Source organism: Homo sapiens, chromosome X (genome assembly GCF_000001405.40).
Source record: "Homo sapiens chromosome X, GRCh38.p14 Primary Assembly".
NCBI classification, from domain to species: Eukaryota; Metazoa; Chordata; class Mammalia; order Primates; family Hominidae; genus Homo; species Homo sapiens.
The window spans coordinates 153459709-153478851 of NC_000023.11; the positions used below are offsets into that span (position 1 = coordinate 153459709).

The 19143-nt window shown below is 58.1% G+C and overlaps 1 protein-coding gene across 6 annotated transcripts in view, besides 9 other annotated features; it reads right to left on the reverse strand.

The window, feature by feature from the left end:
* HAUS7 (HAUS augmin like complex subunit 7) overlaps positions 1–19143 on the reverse strand; it is a 47798-nt gene that overhangs the window by 12041 nt on the left and 16614 nt on the right. For 3 of the 6 annotated variants that reach the window (NR_169630.1, NM_001385482.1, NM_001385481.1), the window contains exons 1-4: positions 10742–10868; positions 9438–9553; positions 5280–5347; positions 2902–2963 (exon numbers count right to left, since the gene is read on the reverse strand). Coding sequence is in view for 3 of the 6 variants with exons in the window: in NM_001385482.1 (NP_001372411.1) it covers positions 2902–2963; positions 5280–5347; positions 9438–9553; positions 10742–10849 (354 nt within the window). In the remaining 3 variants the exon portion in view is untranslated. Of the gene's footprint in view, positions 1–2293; positions 2360–2505; positions 2553–2901; positions 2964–5279; positions 5348–9437; positions 9554–10741; positions 11438–19143 lie in introns of those variants that run through there. The other 3 variants (NR_169631.1, NM_001385483.1, NR_073156.2) reach the window with 2 other exon arrangements.
* Positions 1258–1416: a silencer, noted in NCBI's record as "fragment chrX:152726424-152726582 (GRCh37/hg19 assembly coordinates)". NCBI's record gives its function as "represses an EF-1alpha promoter that drives an FKBP-Casp9 reporter gene in an ReSE screen in HepG2 liver carcinoma cells {active_cell/tissue: HepG2}" and the evidence as "EXISTENCE:reporter gene assay evidence [ECO:0000049][PMID:32094911]".
* Positions 10160–10339: an enhancer, noted in NCBI's record as "active region_30033". NCBI's record gives its function as "activates an Ori minimal core promoter by ATAC-STARR-seq in GM12878 lymphoblastoid cells {active_cell/tissue: GM12878}" and the evidence as "EXISTENCE:reporter gene assay evidence [ECO:0000049][PMID:35858748]".
* Positions 10490–10589: an enhancer, noted in NCBI's record as "active region_30034". NCBI's record gives its function as "activates an Ori minimal core promoter by ATAC-STARR-seq in GM12878 lymphoblastoid cells {active_cell/tissue: GM12878}" and the evidence as "EXISTENCE:reporter gene assay evidence [ECO:0000049][PMID:35858748]".
* Positions 10920–11229: a silencer, noted in NCBI's record as "silent region_21063". NCBI's record gives its function as "represses an Ori minimal core promoter by ATAC-STARR-seq in GM12878 lymphoblastoid cells {active_cell/tissue: GM12878}" and the evidence as "EXISTENCE:reporter gene assay evidence [ECO:0000049][PMID:35858748]".
* Positions 10920–11397: a biological region, named in NCBI's record as "Sharpr-MPRA regulatory region 9358".
* Positions 11103–11397: an enhancer, noted in NCBI's record as "tiled region #9358; HepG2 Activating non-DNase unmatched - State 4:PromP, and K562 Activating DNase unmatched - State 1:Tss". NCBI's record gives its function as "activates a minimal TATA promoter and a strong SV40 promoter by Sharpr-MPRA in HepG2 and K562 cells {active_cell/tissue: HepG2 | K562}" and the evidence as "EXISTENCE:reporter gene assay evidence [ECO:0000049][PMID:27701403]".
* Positions 16267–16806: an enhancer, noted in NCBI's record as "H3K4me1 hESC enhancer chrX:152741433-152741972 (GRCh37/hg19 assembly coordinates)". NCBI's record gives its function as "activates a minimal SCP1, AML or CMV promoter by ChIP-STARR-seq in naive H9 embryonic stem cells {active_cell/tissue: H9 hESC(naive)}" and the evidence as "EXISTENCE:reporter gene assay evidence [ECO:0000049][PMID:30033119]".
* Positions 17002–17502: an enhancer, noted in NCBI's record as "H3K4me1 hESC enhancer chrX:152742168-152742668 (GRCh37/hg19 assembly coordinates)". NCBI's record gives its function as "activates a minimal SCP1, AML or CMV promoter by ChIP-STARR-seq in naive and primed H9 embryonic stem cells {active_cell/tissue: H9 hESC(naive and primed)}" and the evidence as "EXISTENCE:reporter gene assay evidence [ECO:0000049][PMID:30033119]".
* Positions 17503–18003: an enhancer, noted in NCBI's record as "H3K4me1 hESC enhancer chrX:152742669-152743169 (GRCh37/hg19 assembly coordinates)". NCBI's record gives its function as "activates a minimal SCP1, AML or CMV promoter by ChIP-STARR-seq in naive H9 embryonic stem cells {active_cell/tissue: H9 hESC(naive)}" and the evidence as "EXISTENCE:reporter gene assay evidence [ECO:0000049][PMID:30033119]".

A 19143-nucleotide genomic window follows, 5' to 3' on the forward strand; every position in this document is an offset into this window, starting at 1 on the left:
CCCTTAATGTAAAAATATATGCGGAGGACGGGCACAATGGCTCATGCCCGTCATCCCAGCACTTTGGGAGGCTAAAGTGGGAGGATTGCCTGAGCCCAGGAGTTCGAGACCAGCTTGGGCAACATGGCAAGACCTCCTCTCTACAAAAATTTTAAAAATTAGCTGAGTGTGGTGGCGCATGCCTGTGACCCCAGCTACTCAGAGGGCTGAGGTGGGAGGATCGCTTGAAGCCCGGGGGCTCATGCTGATATTCCCAATTAAAACTCAGGACTACAAGGGTTGACCCTACCTAATGATCTTAAATCTGTATCTCCTTCCTCCCTCCTCCAACTCCCAGGTCTCAATAATACCAATGGAATTCTCCAATTCCTTTGATTGTTTATCCATAACAAGGAATGCAGTCCTGCTAAGTGCTGCCGCAACATGGACAAACCTTGAAAACCTTGTGCTCAGTGAGGAAGCCAGGCACCAAAGGCCACACATTCCAGCATTCCACTCCAATGACATACAGACAGATGGTAACTCAGTGGCTGCCAAGGCCTGAGGGGAATGGGGAGTGGCTACTCAGTGGTTCAGGGTCTTTTGGGGGTGATGAAAATGTTGTGGAACTGGATAGAGGTGGTGGTCATACAACACTGTGAATGTACTGAAGACCACTAAATCGTACGCTTTAACGCGGCTTAAAAATTGAGGACGAAGTATCAGTTTGGGAAGATGAACAAGTTCTGCGGCTGGATGGTGGTGATGGCTGCACAGAACCGTGAATGTGCTTATGCCCCTGGACCGCACACTTAAAAATGGTGAACATGATACAATTTAGGTGATGTGTATTTTACCATAATTTTTTAAATTAAAAAAAAAAAAAAGCAGCAGCGAGCTCCCACAGGGCCTGTTAGGAAATTGTTTTTCATGACTGACATGGCAGATTTTACGTAAAGTGCACTTTGCCACAATGCCAATGTGGAAATATAAAGCAAGCGCAGTGCTCCCACGGCTGGGCAGAATGTATGGGGCAGGTGCTCGCAGGCTCTGAGAAGCGAATGTCAGCAGGTGGGTCAGGGAGGAACACCAGGATTCCGAGTTCTCCTGCAGACTGGCAGGGAGCTGGCCGTGCCACCACCATCACGGAAGTGGGTGGTTTATGTCTGGAGGACAGGAAAAGGGAGCCCCAGGGAACTAGAAAGTATCCAAAAGACAGTGGAGAGGAAACGGCTCAAGAAAGTGACCCCACAAATCTGTTTACAATGCCTGGGCTCAGGCCCACCTGTGCACAAGTGGATCTGATCTTGGTGAGCCCAGCAAAGTCTCCCAGGCTGACCACTGGGTGGCGCACACACAGGGGGGACCCGAAGAGCCATGCAAAGGCTGCAGAAACAGAGCTGATGCTGGAAGGAACGGCAGGCAAGAGGCGGGAGGCGGCTGAACTTGCTCCTTAAACCTAAGCAGGTCAAGTGCCTGCTAAAGCACAAATATGTATACAAATATAAATTGTGTGGAGAATACATTTTCCCAGAGCCAAAGTAATAGGCAAAATGTCGAGAGAACTACTTGGCACACGGAGAACCACGGACTCTCAACCACAGGAGAGAAGACTCACTGGATATGGACTTTGGGTGACAATGTGTCCATGCTGGTTCATGGACTGTGACAAAGGAGCCCCCGTGTGCAGGGTGTCGTGTCCATGGCGGGAGAGGCTGTGTATGTGTGGGGCAGGGGGCCTGTGGAGACTCTCTGTACTTTCTGCTCAATTTTGCTGTGAACCTAAAACTACCCTAAATTATTAAGTCTACTAATTAAGAAAAAAAACAAAACAAAACAAAAAAAAAACCTCACTGGACAAGTGACCCAATTAAAAAGTGGGCAAAGGACATGAATATGGAAATTTTTCCAAAGCATATACAGAAATGGCCAACAAGCTCACAAAAAGACGCTCCGTATCACTGGTCATGGGGAAATGCAAATCAAAACCATAATGAGATGCCACCCCACACCGAGCAGGGTGGCTAGAATCAACAAGACGGATGCCAGCAAGTGCCAGCGAGGACGAGGAGAAACTGGAGCTCTCCCGCGCTGCTGCTGGAAAAGGAAGATGGTGCCGCCGCACTGGAAAACAGTTTGGGGGCTCCTCGAAAAGTTAAGCACAGAGTGACCCTGTGACCCAGCAATTCCACTCCCAGCTATACACCCAAGAGGATGGAAAACACGTGTTCAACCAGCCAGTGTACATCTCACATGGATTCACTGACGTCTTATGTCTCCCTAAATCGTAGAAAACCAGCTGTAGCCCAACCACCTTGTGCACATGTTCTCAGGACCTCCTGGGGCTGTGTCATAGGCCATTGGTCACGTGAATAAATCTCTTCAGATATAAAAAAAAGAAAACGTGTTCAGTCAAAAATCATATGCAAGAATGTTTATAGTAGCATTACTCATAATCATCGAGTGAAAACAATTATTTCAAAATTTAGAAACGAGAAGGTGGGTGCTGGAGTTTCTTTGACCTACCGCAGGGTAGATGAGGGACCTCGGGAGAAACTCTCGGGCCACAAGGGCTTGGGAGCCAGGCGCCGGGATGAATGAAGAATGAAGTCATCAACCAAGGACAGGACACTTTCCATCCCACTGGTCATCAGAAGCCAGAGATCTGCCCCTCCCTGCACGGCTGCCCTCTCCCCTGCGCCCCAGGGACAACCAGGTTCTACCCAAGAGAATCCCAGCAGTTCTGGCCCCAGGGATGCCTAGAGAAGCAGCCTGCCCGGGCACCCAGCCGGCCCCAGGGCCTGAGGAACCTCAAAGGCACTAGGGGAGGAAAATCCTCCCACCTCAGCCAGCACCATGAGGTTCCCTGCCCAGGGCAGAAAGCGTGCGTGCCGTCTGCAGAGCAGACAGAGGCCCTCTTACCTTGAGGAGCTCCTGGTCATCTGGCGCACACAGCATCAGCTCGTGGCCCAGCTTCGTCATTTCTGTTGAAACACAAAGAGCCCATCATGGCAGGCACCTGCCCAGACAGCAGGGGACAGCAGACACCCAGGAAGCCCAGCACCCACAGACTAGACTGGGTATAGGAGACCAGGGTGGGCCAGGAGGCAGGCACCCAGGTGCCAGCGCTGCCTCTTGCTGAGTGGCCCCACCCCTCTCTGGGCATCAGCTTCCTCGTCTGAAAATTAGGAATTGTACCCAATGCTCTCCCAGGTTTGGGGTCACTCACTCTGGCTTTGAGCAGAAGCCAGCAGCTGCCTGAGGAGTGGACAGGGGTCAGTGAACCTCTACAGTGCACTGTCTGCCACTCTCTCCAAGACCTCACAAGGCCAAAGCAAATGGACTCACCGCTCCCATCTGGCCATGTCCTAAAGGACCTTCGTGCCATCATCTGCTATCACCCTGCCAGCAGCCCTGGGGGTGGAAGACCTTGTTCCATTTCATGCATGGGGAACCTGGCGCCGTGCACACTGCAGACTATCCAGCCACATCTGCCAGGGTGCCCAGGGCATTTTCTGAGTAACTTGGAGCCAGAAAGCCTGGGGCCGATGCCAGACCTGCCCCTCCACCTAACCCTGGAGGGTTTGTTGCAAGAAGTAAGCAGAGAGTCTGTGGGGAAGCACTCAGTAACCCCAGAACCACCATATAAATGCCAACTGCATGCCTAGGCAAGCCTGTTCCACCACTGCCCTTAACCCCACATCCTCAAGTCCTCCCTGACCCCTCTCTTCCTCTCAGCGAGTCCAGCCAACTCTATAAATCCAGATCTGGCCAGCGCTGCCTCCTGCACTGCCTCTCCAAACTTTCACCTGGACCACTCACTGCAAGAGCCCCACACCGCTCTCCCTGCCTCTTCCCCGGGCACCCTGTTCCCAGCACAGTGGGCCAGGGGTGTCGTTACAGCCAAGAGCAGAACTCGGCCTTCCTCGGAGTCAAAGCCCACGTCCTTCTGGGGCCCACATGGCCTGGCCTGATCTGGCCCGTCCCCTCCCAACCTCACTCCTTGCCCTGCCCTGCTCTCCAGCCACACCAGCCTCCTTCTTGTGCCTCCAAGCTGCCAGGCACAGCCCACCTGGGGCCCTGTGCGCATGCTCTTCCTCTCCGCACATGCCGCGCTGGCTTCCGCCCCTCCTGCCATCTTATGTCAAGACAGCACCACCCTTTCCCCAAGCCCTGCAGGACCCTCAGCCCTCAGCTGGCTGTTCCCAGTGCTTCTCGCTGGCAGGTGCATGAACAATTCTCCCACCCTCTGGCCCTGTCTCTCCCCGCTAGCACGCAAGCGCCACGAGGGCAGTGGAACTCACTGCTGCACCCCAGCACCAGGAACAGCGCCTCGCATGTGGTGGCTGCTCCTTAACCATTCGTCGGATGAATTCCTGAACTATCCTCACACCCTACTGGTCCTGGTCTCTCCCACCTGCCCTCTGACAAGCCTGACACTCAGTATATTCCCATGAGGTAGGCAAGGCTGGGTTTCATCCCCACTTGACAGGAGAGGAAACAGGCTGGGAATGGCGGTGTCAGGGCTAAGGCTGGGCTGGGTCGGGTCACACATGTGTTGGTGTGGGTCAGAGAATCTGGAATGTACCAGACACGGCAGCTCCAGGGAGAAGGGCAGTGCCTCTGTGTGGCCCAGGCCAGCCCACCGGCTGCTCTAAAACAACACCTCCTTCTTCTGGCCCACTTCAGCACAGGAAGAACTGGCCCCAGATAACTCATGTGGCAATGCCAGCTGGGGCACGGATCAGGACTCCAGGGTCCAGCTTATCTACCCTGGAGTGGCCAGAACAGACACAGGCCCATGAAAAATTTGACCTTTGACATTCCACCAACTTCTAGAGAGATCACCATGAAGATGAAAAGTTAGCCACCAACTTGGGGACTGCAGTTTTGCTCACCTTTATCCAACATTCATTACCAGGTTAAGCACGGTTTCTACCAAGAAATGATAGAAAGGAGGTTATAAGGCAAGCTCCGCTGGAGAGCAGCAGGTGCCCCTAGAAATGCCACCTGTAGAGAGCGTGTCACACACCACTGACACAGGGAGACGGAACCACTGCTGGCATCGGCAAAAATCTCTGTCTCTGGCCACCAGCGCTGCAGGGACTGATGTGCTCTAGGTCCCTGCGAGAGGAGTTCTCCCACCTGCCATGCCTAGGGAAGGGTGGGGTTCAAGAAGGCTCTAGCAACATCCACACAACATGCACCACCTAAAAGAAAACGTTGGTCCAATGGAACATGCACCACCACTCCATAAGGAGGCTGTGGACAAGCTCAGAATGGACCAAGATTCCACCTACCTTGGATCTTCACCTCTGTTGGGACCCCTTTCAGTGAGCTGAACCTGTCCTGCAGTGAGGGCCAGACCCTGCAGGGAAACAGCAGAGCTGGTCAGGCCGGAGACAGCCAGAGAATCCCCCTGGGCCCTCTATACGCGCTGGAAGAAGTGAATTCCTGTGCACGTGCTCAACGGCACGGAGCGGCTCACTTTAAAGTGGTTACTTCTGTGTCACGTGGATTTCATTTCCATTAATTATTAGGGAAAGAATATTCCAGGAAGTTTACCTCGGAAATCTGGATACAGAAATGAATCTGGATACTGAAATGAAAATTCTTCTCAAGACCAAAAAAAAAAAAAAAAAAAAAAAAGATGGCTGCAGCAGAGGCAGAGAGGGAAGCTGCCAGCACTCAGGGCTCTTTCTCGAAATGGCGCAGCGGGTGGGTTTTGAGGGCTGGCCCCGGGCTCCTGGCACCCTCCCCGGCCTCGCCTGGGTCGGCATCAACTGCTCCAGGGTGGAAAACTTTCTTCCCACCCGGCCCTCTGCAGAAAAGGCTTGTGAGGCCTGCATTCAGTCATGTGGGGGCTCCTGCCGCAACAGAGTCTGTGGTCACAGTCGAGGCTCATCACCTTGGGCACGGTGAAGGCTTGCCCTTGACTGCAGCACACAGGGGCCGCTCAGAAGCATGTCACCTTAAAAGCCATCTGGTGGGCAAAACCAGATCCACATGCACAGCGCATGGAAGGCAGGAAGTCCCACGACACCCAGACATGCACCACAGGTGACACACGGCTCAGCCCTCCACTGGGTCTCCTCCTTCAGGGGAGCACAGCCCAAGCACTGCATCCCCAGTCCCAAGCCCCATGCCTCAAGCCCGGTATGACACTGAGGCCCAGAAACATCACTCCGGCCGCTGGGGCCACAGGCTCTTACCCGGGAGCCCCAGGCACCTGCCACCACAGCAGCCTTTCATAAACAAGAAGGAGTCGCTTTCCACCAGGCTGCCAGAGCCTGGCTACACCTCACCATTGCCATCACTCTAGGAGCCTGCTGACTCGTGTGGTGGGAAAGGGCTGGTGGCTGTTCCCTGGAGAGGCCACACTTGCCCCAGAACTGCAACAGAGATCGGGCTGGGCTTGGCTGCCTCCACAGCACCACCCACCTCTGTGACTTATTAAGACAACCGTGGGTTCTGCGCAAGCGGGGTTGGGGAAGGAAGGGGGAGGCCAGCAGGCTGGGCTCTGCCAGCGGGGTTGCCGAGAACATCTCTGAGCACAAGGCTCGGAGGAGCAGAGGGCACTCACCCAGCACTGTGCAAGGGCGGGCACAGTAAACCCTGAACACACTCAAAACCCACGCTGCAGAAGCCCCAGTAGCCAGACTCAGTAAGGGCTGTCACTCAAGTCACCGCACCGTCACAGCAGAGGGCAGAGCAGGAACAGAAAATGCTGGAGGCCTTGGAGGCCCCAAGGAAAGCCACAGGGCCTTGACCTCCACAATCCAGGGGGCTCCATGAGCTCTGCCCCAACCCACACCAAGGACCAACACTAGGTGCAGCTTCCAGGTTCTACTGGGAGGAGATGAAAAGGCGGCCCTAAATGGGGCTGACAGGGTGCGGTCACGTACAAAGAAAGGCAATGGGAAATTCACAGGAAAACTCCCATCCATCTGATTCTCCTGTAGGACCCTCAAAAGGCCTAAGGAATTCTCGCCAACCTGAAATCAGACAACGTCATCGTATGCTCCCTGGCAGCTTTTTCAAAGGATTCGGTTTCTGGTATTTACAGAAGTACTACAGGTTGAATATCCCTAATCTGAAAACCTGAAATGCTCCAAAATCCTAAACTTTCTGATCGCCGATATGACGCTCAAAGGAGATGCTCACTGGAGCATTTGAGATTTCGGATTTTCAGATTAGGGACACTCGACCAGTATAATGCATATATTCCAAAATCCGAAGAAATCGAAATCTGAAACACTTCTGGCCCCCAGACATTTTGGATATGGGACACTCAACCTGTAGAAGCATCTGAGGGGCGTGGCTTTGGCCTCCTACCCGTCCCTCTCTGGCCAGATGACCCCAGTTCCCCAAGTGCCCCCAGCTTCCACCTGAGTCAGGCAAATCTGCGCCCCCTCCCACAAGAGCCTCCTCCTGGGAGCTCGCTCAAGACCCTCACACTCCACCCAGCCATCTCCAGTCCTGCCTCACCTCCCAGCCTCCCAGGTTCCCAGGCCAGGGGCTGGTCCCTCCAGGGCCAGTAGTGGCTGCCAGACAAGCCATCTGCCACTCAGCGCAGGGCTCCTTCTGTCTTTCCCTGGGGTATTGGTCTCCCTGCCTGCAGCCATTGCCCTCCAAATCCATCTGCCACAGAGCACCCTGAGTCACCTTACCAAAATGCCAATCTCAGCACGTCGCTCCCCAGGTTCCACGCCTGCCCTGCCCAGAACATAAAGCTCAAAGGCCTTGGCACAGCATGCAAGGCCCTGAGGGAGCTGCCCTGAGCTGCCATTCCAGCTGCTGCTGCCCAGCTCTCTCTCCCACACCTCAACTCCCTGCTCCTGTCCAAACGAGCACCCCGCTGTTACCGTCCCCATCCCAGATCAAATGCCACCTCCTCCCTGCCAACATCCACAGCACCCAACTCAGACTGCAGTGCTGTGCATCATTTCTGCTGAACCCCAGGACTTGTACCCACTAAATACCCAGCTCCTGAGGACACCCAGTCACGTCTGCAGCGCGTGGAATGGCACACAGGTGCAGCCTGGAGAACCCCCCGACTGCACGGCCACACCATGCTGCGGCTCCCATACTAAAGAGCCGGAAATGACAGCAGGCCAAGAGTGCACCCACAGGTTGAGGGCTCCAGCAGGGGCAGGGTGTGCTCAAAGGCTGTGGGCATCCAGAGGGAAGCGGAATACATTCTGCCCTGGGAACAGGAAACATTTTAAAAGGAGACAGGACGTGTGAGTTGGGTCTTTGCGGGCTGTACAGGAGGACGTACGACATGCAGAGACTAGAAGGCCATTTCCAGGAGGGGGAACAATGTGAGCAAGAGCAAAAGGTTATGAAGCGAGGAGCTGCTGTGCTGAGCCCTGGGGAGAGGCCTGAGGAAGGGCCTAGAAGGCAGAGGCAGGAGACGCCTCTGGAACAGCAAGGGCTCAAACACAAAAACGCCTCCTCCTTCCTCTGGGGGCCTGTATCCAGCTGGGCGTCCTGCTGATGTCTCTGGTCCTGGCGGGCCAGACCGGCTGGATGCAGGTTGGCTCCCCACTGCTCTACTGCCAGGCTCCCGCCCAGGCCCCTTCCTCAAGCAGCAAGGGTAGGCAGGCCGCAGGCTGAGGAGGGGGAGGCCCGGGCCTGGACTCACGAGAGGCTCCTGTACCAACAGACTACAGCTGTTCCTGAGCATGGCCTGGGCACACACCCAATCCCACAGGAGCCTGTGCTCTGTGGGAGGCGGGGAAAGCCTTCTCCACTCACAGCTGTGAGGCAGTGAGACAGACCCTCAGCTCAGGGACTACGTCACCAGGGGAAGGATGTCTGCCCTGGGAATGGGACACTCTGGATCATTTCCTCCACCATCACTCAGGAAGTCACCCTGTCACCATGGGCTTCATAGGGTGCCAGGCACACACCATGCTACACCCTGGCCCAAAGGCACCAGAGGACTGGGAAACGGGTCACGGCACAGAAGCTGACAAGAGGTGACACTGCATGAGGACCACTTGGCCAGCTGAGACCCAGCCAGGAGCCCACGCCCTGGCCCTGCCTGTCACTCCTCCACTGGGAGACCAGAGACTGTTCATGCCTCCAGCCTGACCCTTGGCTTCCGGGTCTGAGAAGGAAAGGACTGGAATGGAGCATTTCTCAGGTGCCTGCCAGTCCTGAACCTCCAAACTCATAAGGCAAGGCAAACGCTGAGGGCAAGTTCAGCACTGCAGCAAAGGGGTGGCTGGACTAGCCCAGCACCGCCAGGGGCCACTTTGCCCCAAGTTTGATCATGCCTGTCACCAGTACTCCTTACCTACACAGCTGTTCTCACGAGGGTCCAGGCTAGGGGGTGGAGCCCTCTGGGAAGACAGCTACTCACAGTAACCACAAACCCCATCTTCCCCAGGTGGGGCTGGCTGGCGCCCATGCACACCCCAGGTGGGAAGAGGAAGAAACTGATGCATTACCGGGTACACATCCACTCTAGGATCTCCAAGCGGTACTCTGAGGGGCTGCACAGCAGTTCCTGAATTGTCTTTGGCTCTGTGATATACAGACCCTCGAGGAAGGGGCAGTTTAGGTCCTAAGCAAGGAAAAGGAAAGCAACATTCACTGAAAGTCCCAGTGTACATCATTTCATTTTATTTATTTATTTATTTTTGAGACGGAGTCTCACTCTGTCGCCCAGCCTGGATGGAGTGCAGTGGCATGATCTCGGCTCACTGCAGCCTCCACCTCCTGGGTTCCAGCAATTCTCCTGCCTCAGCTCCCAGGGTAGCTGGGGGATTACAGGCATGCGCCACCACGCCCGGACAATTTTTGTATTTTTAATAGAGACGGAGTTTCACCATGTTGGCCAGGCTGGTGTCAAACTCCTGACCTCAGGTATCTGCCCACCTCAGCCTCCCAAAGTGGTGGGATTACAGGCGTGGGCCGCCGCGCCCAGTCCTCAGTGTACATCTGCAAGCTCCCAGGACCCTTTCCTTTACCCGCGTCCTGCCATCTTGCCAAGAGTTCAAGTCCCCCCATTCTTAACCCCACATCTCCCGCGGCATGCAGACCCCACCTCTTTCAAGTACTCCCACTCTGGGCTCTTGTGGCAGCAGGACCTAGGAGCAACGCCTGAGACTAAGACTTAAGAGAGAGTCCTAGGTTTCGGGACTGAGGGAAAGGGGAGAGGGAAAGGGAGAGGGACCACTGAGCCAGTCGCGGACAGGATGGGGGAGTGTCTGGGGGGAGGAGCGAGCGGGCCGAGGGGACCTGGGACAGCTCCCTAACCTCGTGGGCCAGCTTTCCTCACTGCTGCAGTGAGGGCTCTGTCCTGTGGGGCTGTAGAGGGCTTCTGGAGGCTATCACCCCTGGCATCTGACACCAACTGACACCAAGCCCTAGTCTCGCTGACTTGACAGAGTGGCACGAGGCTCTGCCCATCTGTCCCCCCAGACCCCGCAAGATCCCTAAGGCCAGGCCTGGGTCCTCTGTGTCTGCACTTGCTCCGAGCGCCCAGCGCGGGTACTGCAGTTCCACAGGCGGTGCTGGCCCCAACTACCAGGCACGGGCCGTGGAGACAGCAAGAACGAAGGCCTGGGGCACACCAAAGGGCAAAGATGAATGATCCACAAGCACCCCCTGCTGCAAGGGAACAGGGCGCAGCCGGAACCGGCGACGGTGGCCGCGTGGCGCCGCGGACTTCCGCAGCAAGCCCTCCCGGGCCTCGGGCGGGGCCCTCCCCGGTCCCCCGCCCTGGAGTGGCTTTCTGGGCCAACAGCACCTTCAGCTTCCCGAACACCTCCACAGCCGCCCTGGACACGCTGCTGTCGCCCTCGTCCTCTGAGTAGTCGTCGCCGCCACGGCCGCAGCCAGCGTCCTGCCCCGCCATGTTTCGCGCTCCGAGCCGCGCCCCGCCCATGCCCTGGCTTCACTGGCCGGCAAGACCGCCAATCAACCTCCAGCGTTCTTCCCGCCCACCCGCCTGCGCCCACCCCCTTCCCGACCGACCCTTCCCATTGGGCGACATCTCCGCCTGCGCGGGCCCCGGGCTCCCACCCCCCGCCCCGGCACCACCCAGAGGCAGGACCACAGTGAAGCGGGCAGGGCGGACACAGGGAAGGGGGCGGGGCGGACACAGGGAAGGGGGCGGGGCGGACACCGGGAAGGAGGCGGGGCGGACACCGGGAAAGGGGCGGGGCGGACACCGGGAAGGGGCGGGGCGAACGGGCCAAGCTGGCTCTGAGTCGCAGGCCTTGCTGGCGTCGCCCCTGCTGCCGGCCGGGAATGATGATGCGTTGAAGCGAGGCTCTTCCAGGAGGGGGCGCTCCTGCCTTGGTCGGGTTCTCCTGGGCCACCACCACTAAGGGGCACCCTGGTTCCCAGGAGGACCAAGGGGAGCCTTGGGTGCAGAATGGAACTCGGACTGAAGCGTTCCTCTCCCAGCGCGGGGCTCCGTCTTCTCTTCACCATGCTCACGCTGTAGTTAGAAGGAAATTTCTTGTCACTCACCAGCTGTGTGCCTTTGAACCAGTTACCTAACCTCTCTGTGCCTCTTTGCCCTCACCTAATGGAGCTAATGAGAGCACCTTACCCACTGGGTTGCTAATGAGGATGGCAGGCGGTAATAATTCCTGTGGAATCCCTAGAACAGTGCCCGGCGCATGCGAAGAACCACGTAAATGCTCACTATTGTAATACATGCTGGGCCCTGCTCCCCTCACGGCTCCTGGGGCTACCTGTGGCTCCTTCCTATCCTGTCTACTTAACAAATTTTTCTACATCCCTCAGGACCCTCAAACTCAATGCGTCTGCAATGAAATATGTCAGTCGCTCCTCCCCCAGACCTGCAAAGCCCCCAGTTCACTGAATGCCCCTTACCCAGGGACCTGCTGATTGGGCAAGGCAGGAAGGAGTTGGAGGGTGGCTTGTGCCCAGTAGCCAGGAGACAGCAGCAGGCAGCTGCCACTGTGCCCTCCTCTGTGCCCTACCCTGCCATCTCCTGGAGGGTGGGATCAGGGGGCAAGTCTATAGTCAGGGAGACCCAGGGACCTGCTGGGAGGCAACTGCAGTCATCCAAGTGACAGGAGGGGACTTCACTCCGTCCTGGGAGGAGGGAGCGGGCAGGAGTCCGGGGGTCACAGGAAGGGACCTCAGCCTGGGAGGCCCCGACACAGGCCCAGCGAAGTGCCTCAAGGTTGCTCTCTACCCTTCCACGTGGCTGCTGCCTCAGGCCCTTCTGGTAGCTGAGGGCTGTCAAAGGCTTTGGGATTTTTTTTTAAGCGTTTTTTTCCCTCTTTTTTGTTTTTGTTTTTCTTTCTTTCTTTTTAGAAAATTTCATCTCAATCACAGCCCCAGCTCAGACATTCAAATTCTTGTGGGTTTTTCTGTGGATCTTTCCTAGGACTGGGGAATTTGGCGGAAGAAACCACGGCAGTGTGGCAGCCTCCCCCAACCCTCCCCATATTCTCTGCTCCTGAGGACCGGGAAGAAACCAGCTCCTGTGTACTCTGGAAGAAAATCTCCCTCCTCCACCCAGCTCCACGGAGCCAGTGTGCTCAACAGGCCTCCCCAACCTCAGCAGTTCAGTCTATGGGACCCTGAGGAACTGGCAGGGCCTTGAGAGGCGAAGATCATCTTGAGAGGTTATGGAGGCCATCCCCCTCATGGAGAACCTGTTGGCCAGCCCTCAGCCCCTGGAGATGGTCGCTGAAGACCCAGCAGCAGGCTGCAGCTTCCCTGCCCACGCCACCCCACCACCCACCACCCACCACCCACCACCTGCCACCCACCACCCGCCCCCAGAATCATAGCACCTCCCAGGCATCTTCCTCCGGAAAAGCTGGAGGCTGGGGAGGGAACAGAGAGGCTGCTGGGCCTCTCAGGAAGGGGGAAAGAAGGGGCCCAGAGGTAGAAGCTTCTGGAAATGTGGACTCAAGCTCAGTCCAAGAAAGCACTCCTCCCAGAAATCACTGTCTGAACACCAGCTGGCTGCCAGGAGAGGAAGGGAGCTCCCGGTCCTAGAAGGTCTACAAGCCCAGGGAGGTGGGTGGGCGGGGATGTGGAGGGTTGAGTCCTACCATGGGGGAGGGAGGGGGCACATCTCTAAGGGACATTCCAACCCAGAGACCCCAGGTTCTCTGAGGGAGGCCTGGGTGGGTCAGGAGCCAAAAATGTGGCTGAAGGACCCATTGACCTGGAGGAGGGATGTTGGGGGGAAGCTGTGGATGTGGCGGGGAAGCTGGGGGGTCCTGGTCATGGAGGAAAGTTGGCCATGCGTCCCAGCAGGGCCTCAGCCGTGTCAGTGCTTGGAAAACACGTTGGAAAATGAGACTGGTTCACGGCACTGGCCCCGCTGTGCCAGAGATGGGCTGGCGGGTGCTGGTGGCATTCGAGACCTCTCAGTTTGTGTGGTGGGCCCAGAGATATATGGCCAAACAGTTGAGCTCACCAAGTGGGCAGCCTCCCTGACCTGTGGAGGGTATTGAAAAAGTCCTCAGAGCATCCGGGCCCTGCTCTTCATATGACCTTAAGGGCAGACCCCACGGTGCAGCGGGAATCAACCAGGGACCCCCCAATCCCCCAAAGACACCGCGAATCAAAGGAAGCTGAAGTCCAAGGGCTTTCCTCTCTGCAGAGGCGGGTCTGCTTCTGGCAGGGGCTGGAGTTAGACCTGAGGGGGAGCCACCCCACCTGGGGGCGCCTAGGCCCTAGAATGCTGTCAGAGCTAAAGCCCTAGAAGGCCTTGCTCCACGGGGCCACTTCGACTCCCGGCCCTGAACCAGGGAACCTGGGGAGGAGCCTTTGAGGGACTGAAGTGTCCTCCATCACCCCCCACCCCTGGCCACTAAAGTTCCTCAGTAAGGGTGGAGAGTACCAAATGCAAGCTGTTGAAGACAAGGCAAGTGTGTGCGTGTGTGTGCGTGTGTGTGTTTTGGGGAGAGTTCAGGTCTAAGATGAGAAGCTGATCACACCCATGCGAGAAGCAAGTGGTGAGCCCTGGCATTGGGTTTGAGGGAGAAATGTGACAGAGTAATGAGGTCAGGCTCAGGACGGTCTGAGTGTGAGGCTCTCCGCAGGCAAGGCAAAGCCAGGGGGCTGCCTCTGCCTCCCCTCCCCTCCCTCCCCGTCCTGTCCTCCTCTCCCTCTTCCTTCTCCTCATCTCCTCCCTGTCTTCCTGGGACCTCTCTGCTGCTAAGCTGCCAGGCTGAGCTGTTGGTCACCCATCCACCCTGCATCCTGGCATGCAGGCTCAGTACCCAGGTCTTGCGGGCAGCCCACGCCATCTGCACCAGCCAGGAGCCCACCCGAAACCCAGCCCTATCCTTGCAGATGGGGGAAGGGATGGAGAACACGAAAGCAGGGGTGGGGGCCTTGCAAATGAGACAAGGAAGTGGCTGTAAGCTTGGGGGAGCCCTGCGGCCTGTGGCCCTAACTCTGGAGGGACCACACTGTCAACCTGGGAGCTGCCTGAAGACTCAACTCTACAACGTTCTCCTCCTAGGCCTCCGTGTTCATCTTTGGAGTCTACTGGCATATGAGAATGGAGAGGCTGCCTTGGGACCTTGGCTTCCTCTTCCTGTCACTTCTAGTCCCTATGCTGGGCCTCCTGCTTTAGGGCCCCACCCTCACCTCCTGCAGTTGAGGGGCCCTCACCTGCCCCATCCTGCCCCCAGGCCACCAGCTCCTGCAAGAGCACATTCCGCAGCGCAGTCAGCATGGTACCACCATCGCCATCACCATCGCCTCCAGTGGGCCTGGAGGTGCTACCATCACCTACCCCGCCCTGTCCCCCAGGCCACAGGCTCCTGCAAGAGGGCAGGGCCTGCGACCTAGGGCGACCCTTGCTCTGAGGCCAGAGGCAGTTGTAGGGGGTGTGGACAGAGTCTGGCTGGCAGGGAGGCAGTGGCTCAGCGGTCCATCTTTGTCCTCCTGCCCCGGGCCCCAAAAATGGGAGGGATGGTCTGGGGCCCTGGGGACCTTTGGGTTTCCCGCTTCTGCCCTCGAACTGCCTGTTTGCAGTGGACGCAACGGGAGAGGCGGGGGCGGGGGCGGGGGCGGGGGCGGGGGCGCGGGCGCTGGCGCGGGATGGGCGAGTGGCTGCGCGTGCACGCGGCTCGCGGGAGGTGGCGGGCGGGGGCGAGCGCTGCTGCACGTGCGCGGGGCGCAGCCGCGCAGGCGGCGGCAAAGGAAACGGCGGCGGGCGGGATCGCCCCCTCCGCGGGGAGACGCTCGGGTCTAGACGGCTTGGCAAGGCCGGCGGGGCTGAGTCACATGCGTCTGGAGCGGGAAGCGAGGGCGCCAGGACGGGAACACGAACGTGCCCGCTCGGAGGGCCGGCCGGGGGAGGGGGCGCCCGCCTCGCCTTCTTGCTTTGCCCGAGCTCCCCGGCCGGGCCTGAGCTCCAGCTTCTGCCCAACCTCCGTTCCCTGCCGAGGTCCTCGAAGCCCACCGGAGGGGATGGGGCGGGGCCGCTTTCACACGGAGTCCAGCGAAGCCACGCTATGGGCGGGAATGAACTCGAATTTCACACGGGCAAAGAGGGTGGGAAACTGGCCCCTATTCTGCCCCCATCCCGACCACGGCCCTGCTCCCTATGGGCTGGTCCCTGCTGCGTGCCACCCTCTGCAGTCCCCCTCCACTGGCACCCTCCACCCCATCCGCAGCCACCCTTGTCCCATTTGGGGTCCTGTGTTCCCCTTCCCTCCTTTTTCTTCTCCACCCCCACCCCGCAGCAGGCTCTCTCGCTCAGGATCACCAGGTCTCAAGCATTTAGTGCTCACCAAAGCGTCTGCAAGAAAAGTCATTTAATTGGGACCAGATCCTCTGAGGTTTCAGTAGCATTAAAATAAGATGGGTTTCCTCTAGGGAAGAGTTGCGGGCAACAGGAAGAGGGCATGGAAAATGGGGCTTTTTTCTTCTCCAAGCTTTAAGGGGGAAAGGCCCCATATTGTTACTGACATATAAGATAGCTGCAGGCGCATGTCCCCAGAGAATGCCACCCATGTGCCACACACTGCTGTCGTTTTCACTCAGACAACATGTGGAAAGCTCAAGAATGGGCCTGTTCCTTTTCTCTGGGGGTCACCCCAAGGCTGTGTCTCTGGCTGCCCTGGGCCCTGGGAAAAGGACAGGCACGTAGTAGGTGCTCCTGCAGAGAGCAGGAGAGCAGGAGAGCAGGAACAGCCCCCAGACCTTGACCCTGAGGCCCAAATGCTCCTGACCCCACCCGCTCCTCCTCGCAACCCCGCCTCCACCCTTGGCCAGCCACTATCACCTGGCCCCTGGCGGGCTCAGCTGCCACACGGTGGCTCCCACCTCCTACCCTTATGCCCCCAGTACATCTGCTCGTGCTCCACCCCACAGCCTGAGGGGGGCCGGATCCTGTGACTCCTCTGCTTAGCAGTCCAAGGTGGCTCCCTGATTCTTTCAAGGACAAAGGCAAGCCAGCCCACCGCCACAGACACCTTCCCACGGCTCACTCAGCCTGCTCCACCACATTGCTGTCATTGCCAATGCTCAAATTGGGCCCAACCCTTTCTCACCTGGGGCCTCTGCACTGGCCATCCCTCTTTTTCGGAGGGCTCTTTCTGTGGCTTTTTGCATGGCCATGGCCTCTTCACTCATGCCTCTGCCCAAATGTCACTTTCTCACGGTCCTCACCTGATCCCCTGTCAGTGAGCAAAGAATCCACTGTCCAGTCCTCGTTGATGACAGCCTTGAGGGACAAACAGCATTGCTTTGGCATCCTCCAGGCTACCAATCTGAGTCCCAGCTTGTAGAGGGTATGTGTGTGCATGAGTGTGTGAAGAGTGGGCTACATGGAAGGGAAGGGGGAGGAGGACAAGGGACAGGAGTCCCTTCCTTGACCTTAGAATCCTGGGATTGTACAACTAGAAGCGACCTTGATCATGTAATCCAGCTTCTCTAGGCGCCTTCTGGCTCTCAGATTCTAGAACTTTCTAAGGAGCCTGTTTCCACCATACTGAAATGAGAAGACTGGGGCACTGAGGAGGGAGGGAAGCTTGTTCCTGATGTCACATGGCCAGTCCGTCCATGGCAGAACTGGGAGCCCAAAGCTCTTTCCAGCAACCCTCGGGCTGCATCCCTGGTTCCTGGAAAATCCCAACAGCCCTCCCACCCTCTGCTCCAGACACCGGGCTCGGGATTACTGTTGGCTTGGGGCCTGCCTGTCTCAGCACAAGTCCGTCAGTGAGCTCTTGGGCGGGGGGGAGGGCAAGGCAGAAACTTGCCGGGAGCCTCTGGCTCTGCTGAGCCCCTGAAGGCTGGCTCTGCTCCATGGGGGTTCCTTCAAGGTCCCCACAATGGCCGGGTGCCCTGGGACTGGACAGAGTGGGCAGCAGGAGTACCACTCCCCAGGGGCCCACCCAGGTCAGCCACCAGGCTCCCGACCAGGGGAAGGGCAGCGAGGCCAGGCCTCCATGGGAGCTGGGAACTGAGAGCACCCCAGGCCTCACCCCTTCCTGCCTAGGTGGGTAGGAGCGGAGTCCCTCCCTCCTCCAGGCTGGCTGTGCCAGAGAAACCTGGGAGCAGGCTTCCCCCACCCCCAGCCCAGCTAATGGGAACCAGATGGCAGGATGTTTAGTCAGCGCCTGGGGAGCGGCGCAAACAGGGGAAATGGGTAGGGGGCCAGGATTCCAGAATCCATCCCCAGGCAGGGGGAGGGGCGGAGCCGGGGTTCCCATCACCGTCCAGTCTCCCGACCCCAGGTGCTAGGCTCAGCTCAGGCAGGGACCTACCCCGTTTCTCAGGCGATGCCTGGACCAGGAGGCAGGAGGACTGGCCTCTGGTATCGAGACTTGGGTGAGCCCCACTCCTTCTCTGTTCCTTCTCTGTAAAATGGGGGGTCGACTGTGCTCTGTCTTGCAGGATCCTGGGGCAAGCTTCACTTAGTCTTGGCAGCATACTTCAAGTCTGCCGTGCCCCAGTGCTACCCTGTCCCAGCTTCGGCAGCTGCCCCCAGGCAGGACACTGGCCCACAGCCATCCTGTGTCACCCACAGGACGCACAAGGAGATGGTGGCCTCATCCCTGACTCCAGAGGCATTTGCTGACTCCCTAGATGGTCCCTGTTTCTGGTCTGTACGTGGCAGGGTCCAAATTCAGGTCAGAAACCAGAGCCCTGGATGGCGAGGGTACCCTGGATATAGCAGAGGACCCCATGTGGCTCCTACGGGACTGTTAGCTGGAGCGGCAGCTCCTCAAGGAGCCCAGTGAAGACCCAGTTGCCAGGCCTCCTCCCCACCTTGACCAGCCCTGCACCCCTCTGGATCTCACACATTGCCTCATTGCCCCAGGATGGAGACTCCTGCCTGATGGCCCTTGCCGGCCCCTGCCCCTCCTCCACTGCTTCCCTTCTCCCCTCCACCCAAGCCTTGCCCACAATTAACTCATTTCTTAAGATCGCTTCCAAACCTAAGTCAACGCTGGACAGGGCTGTAGGAAAAGCTTCCTCAATACTGGCCCTGAAGAGCCGAGCCAGCGGTGAGATCAGTCCTCTCTGCCAGCCCCCGCCTGCCTGCTCCCACAAACCCTGGCTCCCACAGCAGAACGCGGGGTTGGGGCTGCAGGGACACCCCAGTTGGAGCAGGGACTTCCGGCAGCCCTCTGAGGGTGGCGGGCTCTAGGAACTGGAGCCAGACACCCCCTTATTTGCCCCTCACTCCACCACACGCCCCTCTGGCCCCACCCAGCAGTCCCCTCATCGAGCCCAGCCTATTTTCCACCTCATGTCATCCTGACCCACAGGTGCCCCTCTGACCAAAAGGATGCGTGCAGCCTAGGCACATCAGAGATCCCAGACTGTTGGCCAAGAAGTCTGGGGGGGACCTGTGACATGGCTTCACCCAGGCAGTGCCTGGAACACCCATGCTCCTATGTAGGGGGTCGGGACAGCCACAGAACGTCAACTCTGCCCCCTACCCCATTTTACAGAGGAGAAGGTAGAGACCTGGAGGGCAAGCAGAGGAACCAGGAGCCAGCCCAGCCCGAGGCACACCCATGCCCAAGCAGCACTGGGGTCTCAGGCACGGGAGGCATACCCTCGCCGCCTGCACTGTGCCCACAGATTCTATTTCCTCTGGAACCCGGAGGCCTCCACAGTGCTGCCCACGGCAGAAGCCCACGGCCTTGGCACCCACCCCCTCTCCTTTCGCAGCCATGGATG